The sequence below is a fragment of the Homo sapiens genome, chromosome 3, assembly GCF_000001405.40.
Source record: "Homo sapiens chromosome 3, GRCh38.p14 Primary Assembly".
Classification (NCBI taxonomy): domain Eukaryota; kingdom Metazoa; phylum Chordata; class Mammalia; order Primates; family Hominidae; genus Homo; species Homo sapiens.
In genome coordinates, this window is record NC_000003.12 from 126,650,195 (window position 1) to 126,656,194 (window position 6,000).

The 6,000-nt window shown below is 45.3% G+C and overlaps 1 protein-coding gene across 2 annotated transcripts in view; it reads right to left on the reverse strand.

Annotated features, from left to right (window-relative positions):
- TXNRD3 (thioredoxin reductase 3) overlaps positions 1 to 4,930 on the reverse strand; it is a 48,075-nt gene extending 43,145 nt beyond the window's left edge. For both annotated transcript variants that reach the window (NM_001173513.3, NM_052883.3), the window contains exon 1: positions 4,554 to 4,930. In NM_001173513.3, coding sequence (NP_001166984.1) covers positions 4,554 to 4,796 — 243 coding nt within the window. In that variant the 5' untranslated portion in view covers positions 4,797 to 4,930. The remainder of the gene's footprint in view (positions 1 to 4,553) is intronic.
- Positions 4,931 to 6,000: the final 1,070 nt, after the last annotated feature.

A 6,000-nucleotide genomic window follows, 5' to 3' on the forward strand; every position in this document is an offset into this window, starting at 1 on the left:
TTAACATTGACTTTCCAACTAGTCTAGCTGCCTCTACACTGAGCCTAGTTTCATATGATGGCTAGATTTCAAATCACAGGTCAGACGCTGCTCACAAGCGTGAGATGACTTTTCTTTGCCACATCATTAAGTCCACACTTATTAGCAAGCATTTTAAGACCTCCTTGGCCAGGCACGGTGGCTCACACCTGTAATCCCAGCTCTTTGGGAGGCCAGGCGGTGGATCACTTGAGTGCAGGTGCTCGAGACCAGCCTGGGCAACATGGTGAAACACTGTCTGTACAAAAAATGCAAAAATTACTGAGGTGTGGTGGCATGCACCTGTAGTCCCACCTATTTGGAAGGCTTACGTGGGAGGATCACTTGAGACTGGGAGGCAGAAGTTGCAGTGAGCCAAGATCAAGCCACTGCACTCCAGCCTGGGCAACAGAGCAAGACCCCATCTCAGAAAAAAAAAAAAGACCTCCCTAAATCACCTTTGAAACTAAACTTCCAGCCATTTTCCAATGAATCTTCCTGATTCCCTTGCATATACTTTGTGCTCAGCCATACTATTTTCCTTTTATCGTTATCTATCTTTGCTGATACTAGTTTCTTAACTAGATGCTCTTTCTTACCTACAGACTCTCAAGGACCAGCTTACATGGCATTTTCTTAGACTGTTCTGATCCTCCACAGAAGCCACTGTTTTATCTCTTATTCCCACAACTCTTGTTTTTCTTACGCACTTCTTTCTACACAAACAAGCTGGTTGATTACAGCTCAATTAGACTATGAGCGTATGGGAGGCAAGACCAAGGCTTATTCATTTCTGTGTCTCTGCAACACTAAGCACCCAATAACACTTATTGAATGCCATTAGCAGCCCAATGAAGAAACAAATCTCTCTCCTTGACTCTGCAAGGATAAGAACATATGTGGAATATGGTGTCTAATTTTGGGGGATACATTTAAGAGGTTCATGGGCAAAAAGAAAACTGTACAACCAAGTTAGTGAGCGGCCACATGTAAAGACGGACATGTAAGAAAGCAGGCTACTCAGTCAAGCAAGAAAAACACTTGGCGAAAGTACGGGAAGATCTGCCTTCCAAGCAGAAGCAAGGTTCTTAATTCTGCCCACTGGAGCAATGCTCACCTCCAAGAATGAATAAATATTTCAGAGAGGCAGATTTTGCTTCACTTAAAAAAATTCCAATAATCAGAGTTGTCCAAATATGTCATGGGACTCAAAATGGTGGCCACATTACTGAAAATGTTAACACATACAGAATAGAGGATCATTTGTCCTAAGATTTTTCTGTATCAGGAAAGATTTGACTAACATTATTTAAGATAATTCACCCTACATTATGTGCCTGACACTATTGTCTAGGCCCCAGTAATACAGCAGTAGACAGACAGTTCTGATCTCTTGGTGTTTATGCAAACTACAAAGGACAACTCTTAAGAAATATAGATAGAAAACAGACCCCAGAAATAGTCCAACACATACATGAGAACCTGATCAATGATGAGTGAGCATACGAACTAGTGTGGAAAGGATGGGGTCTCCAAAAAAGGAAACAGGAACACCTGAGAAGTCACAAAGAAGAAAACAAACTGAATCCCCACTCCTATTACTAATATCAATCCCAAGTAGACGTCAAGAATGTAGGTATGAAAAGCATACTATTCAATTTTCAGGAGCTAAAACAGGAGAATATCTTTATGATCTCTGAATAGAAACAGATTTCTTAAAAAAGACACCAAAAGCAAGCCATAAAAGGAAAAGAACGATAGAAGCAAATACATTAAATTTACAAACTTCAGTTAATGAATAGATCCTTGTATTAGTCTGTTCTCCCATTGCTATAAAGAAATATGAGACTGGGTAATATATAAAGAAAAGAGGTTTAATTGGCTCACGGTTCTGTAGACTCTACAGGAAGCATGATACTGGCATCTCCCTGGCTTCTGGGAGGCCTCAGGAAACTTACAATGATGGCAAAAGGCAAAGGGGGAGCCAGCACTTCACATGGCCAGGGCAGGAGCAAGACAGTGGGGTGGGGAGATGCTACACACTTTTAAATGACCAGATCTCATGAGAATTCACTATCATGAGGACAGTACCAATGGCATGATACTAAACCATTCATGAGAAATCCACCCCCATGATCCATTCATCTCCCACCAGGCCTCACCTCCAGCATTAGGGATTACATTTCAGTATTTGGGTGGGGACACAGATCCAAACCATATCAATCCCATAAAAAGAGTGAAAAAGGAAGCTAAATCTGACCGATTTTCTACAGCAGCAGGTCCTCAAATAACATTATTTCATTACAACAGTGATTTAAAAAACTATTTCCAGCCAGAGCCACTGTCAAGTGGAGTTTGCACCTTCTCTTCATGTTTTCTCCAGGTACTCCGGTTTCCTCCCACATCCCAAAGATGTCCATGTTAGGCTAATTGGTGTATCTACATTTTCCCAGTCACAGAGAGTGTGGGTGTGTGTGCAAGTGCACCTGCAATGGGATGGTGTCCCAGCCAGGTTTGGATCCCGCCTAACACCCTGAGCTGTCAAGATAGGCTCTGGCCACTTGCAACCCTGAAATGGAGTAAGTGGGTTGGAAAAGGAATGAATAAGCAAATATAAATTATTGCCAAATAAAACTTCATCAAGTAGACAATAATCATATAGATGCAAACAATAACGAATGCAGTGCACCCTCCGCCCCTAACAAAGGGACTCTGATTTTGTTTTTGAACTGCCCAGTGGCACGAGGTGCTCCTTAAAATTCTGCTTTGCAAACATTTTTTTATTTCACCCACCACCATTAGAACCCAACCTCTCCTGACTCACCAGAAATTGGGTAAATAATTTTCTTCCTTGTTCTCACTAATCTCTCTTAAATGTATGTATAGCTCACGTTTATTTCAATGTTTAATATTAGACATGTTTTGGGTCTTTATTTAAAAGTCTGGTGATTTCTTTTTGTGGTCAGAAATATGCCATAGGAACTTAACTCTTATTTCTATCGATTAGCCTACAATAAAACTGGTTTTGTTACATGCCATTTGGCTTAAGGTTGGTTTCCAAGAACCTATCAACAATGTTGAGTGAGCACTTACTGTATACATAACCAAAGAATAAGCATCCTAAATATATAAAGAATAAGTCAGTACAAACAACTAAAAACCACTGCATAGGAAAATAGGCAAAAGGCCTGAAAAAAATGAAAAACACGCTATATAATTTCACAGAAGAGGAAGCTCAAATGATGCATGAACACACTGGACTTCATTTGGGAAATGCAAAATCAAACCATAATGGAATGCCATTTCAAAACTGCCAGAATGGCAAAAATTAAAAATATCAACTGTTAGCAAGGATGTAGAGCAAGATGAATTGTTCCAAACTAGGAGCAGAGTAAATTGGTATCACTACTTGGAAACTCAGTTGGGCATTACCTTGCTAAGGTAGAAATCATGCATCCTTTATGACCCAGCAACTCAGCTTCAAGATACCTATTCTAGAGTTAAGTCTTTTATAAATGCGCTGGGAGTTACGTGCAAGAATAAACATATAGCTGTACTGTTTTTTAAGACCAAAATACCAAAAACAGCAGAATGATAAACTCCGGTACGATTCATCCCAGGGAATAGTCAGCAACGAAAATTAATGAACCCCAGCTACAGATACTAACATGCATGAATCTCTGAAACATAACTGTTGAGGAAGAAAACTGCAGAAGAATACCTATGTATGTATGGTTCTATTTATATCAAGTCCCAAAACAGGCCAAAAGGAACCAAATATTGATGAATAATATATATATTTGGTAAAAATGTAAAAAAAAAAAAAGGAAATTTTGCATAGTGGTTAACCCTGAGGGAGGGAGGAGACAGCCAAGGAAGCTTCTACAGTACTAGTGTCACTTTATTATTCTTAAAAATATATATGCATAATATATGTTTTAAGAAACTATACACATCAATGTAAACTTCAAATATATTTGAAAAACACAGCCTATAATTTCATGAACTCAACCCAATAGTTTATGCTTTTGCATACTGTCTTCCACGTATCATTTTTCAACTTTCTGTAAAATGAAGTAAATTCCTAAACGTTGAAAGTCTGTACCTTACACGTAGGTTATCACCCAAAGGCTCGTTTCTAAGTGAAGTATTCTTAAACACAGAATACATTTGTCCTTAGAAATAATGCCGGATTCCTAGTCCGCCCCGAAAAGTTAAGGCAGTGTGCATGAAGCTGAAATTACCTCAGTCGTCCTAACAACCTTCCCGTACCTTCGTTTCACAAACGGGGGAACTGAGGCTCTGCACAGGGTCCTAACCCGGGTCGAGGTCACGCAATTAGGAGAGTTTCTGTTTTGATAAACTATCACAAGCCCACCTCAGGGGACGACCGGGGAGAGGAGAGGACGGACGGCTGACCTCACCGCCGCAGCCCGGGACCCGCGGGCGCCCCGGCCCGGACCCGCCCTGCCCCGGGTGGCGTCCGCGTGGCGGGCCCGGTCGCGCGCGGTGGAACCGGCGAGGGCCGCGCCTACCCGAGTACTATGGGGACAGTAGCTCTTGCTGAAGATCACCACCCGGCTGCGCTCGATGAGGCCCACGAGGTGGCGGCGCAGCTCCTCGCGGGCCTCGGACGAGCGGCTGGGCCCGGGGGACGACAGGCGGGCACGGCGCCCCGGCGGCGACAACACGCGCGCCCCTCGGACATGGCCCGAGCGGCGGTTGGGGGCATCGCCCGCCTTTCCCGGCCCGGGCGACTGCGGCGGCGACCGCTCCAGAGTCTCGCTCTCGCTCCTGGCCCGGCCGGGCCTGCTCACAAACCGAAACGCAGGCGGCTGCGGCGCCGGGACGGGGCCTGAGGGGCGGCGAACGCTGCCCTCGCTGGCCACTCTCACCACCCGCGCGAATCCGCGAGGCAGCCGCTCGCCCCGCCCCCCAACACCGCCCCGCGCATGCGAAATTGGGTCCCCCGCCCGCCCGCAGCCTAGGTGTCACCTGCCCTTCGCAAAGGGGCGGGTACCAAGCGCGAGCCTCTTTATCTCCAGGTTGTGCCTGCGTCCGGAGACCACCCAATCTTGGCGATGGCGCTCTGAGATGGCCTCTGTGCAATGCCTTTTACTCCTAATAATCCCCAACAGCCCCTTTAAACCACCTTAAAATATACGTTCTTCAATTTTTATGGGAAGTGTGAATTGGAAAGATTGATATTTTTAAAAGTTTAGATCACACAAGCTAAATAAATATATTGCGTTTGCTATTGCAATGCAGCTTTAATGAGTTTCCTAGGTTGCTACCCGTCAGTTCCCTTCTACATAGAATTCCAGAGCCGCCCCTAACAAAGGGACTCTGAAACCGCGAGAAGAGGAATCCTCTGTCCATTTCGGTGGATGAGTGGAAGACCTCGGAGCTGAACTTGCCTGCAGTGACTGAGTTAGCCGGTCATGGTGGCGGGTGCCTGTAGTCCCAGCTACTTGGGAGGCTGAGGCAGGAGAATGGCGTGAACCTGGGAGGCGGAGCTTGCAGTGAGCCGAGATGGCGCCACTGCACTCCAGCCTGGGCAACAGAGCGAGACTCCGTCTCAAAAAAAAAAAACAAAACCAAAAACAAAAACCTGGAGTTTCCTTCTTCTCAACAATTCTTTACATTTCAGTTAAGTCCTCTAGGCGGAACCCATGCAATAACCAGAGCAGGGGAAGGAGCCTAGTAGGTACTTTATGCTTTTTGTTAACCTGTGCACTCAGCGATGCTGGAGTGCCTGTCATGTGCCAGATACTGTGCTGGGCGCTGCGGATTTGGCAGAGAATGAGGCTGGCCGCCCTGCTCCTATGAGGTGTGGCTGCGTCTCTCCATCTCCTGGGTCCCATGAGGCACAACCAGTCATGGGGCCATTGTTCAGGTGAGGACACATGTCCAGGATGAGGGGGGAGTGTGTGGAAGCTACGGGCCTTGAAGTCAGGTGCATCCTCCTTTTCCCTGAGACTA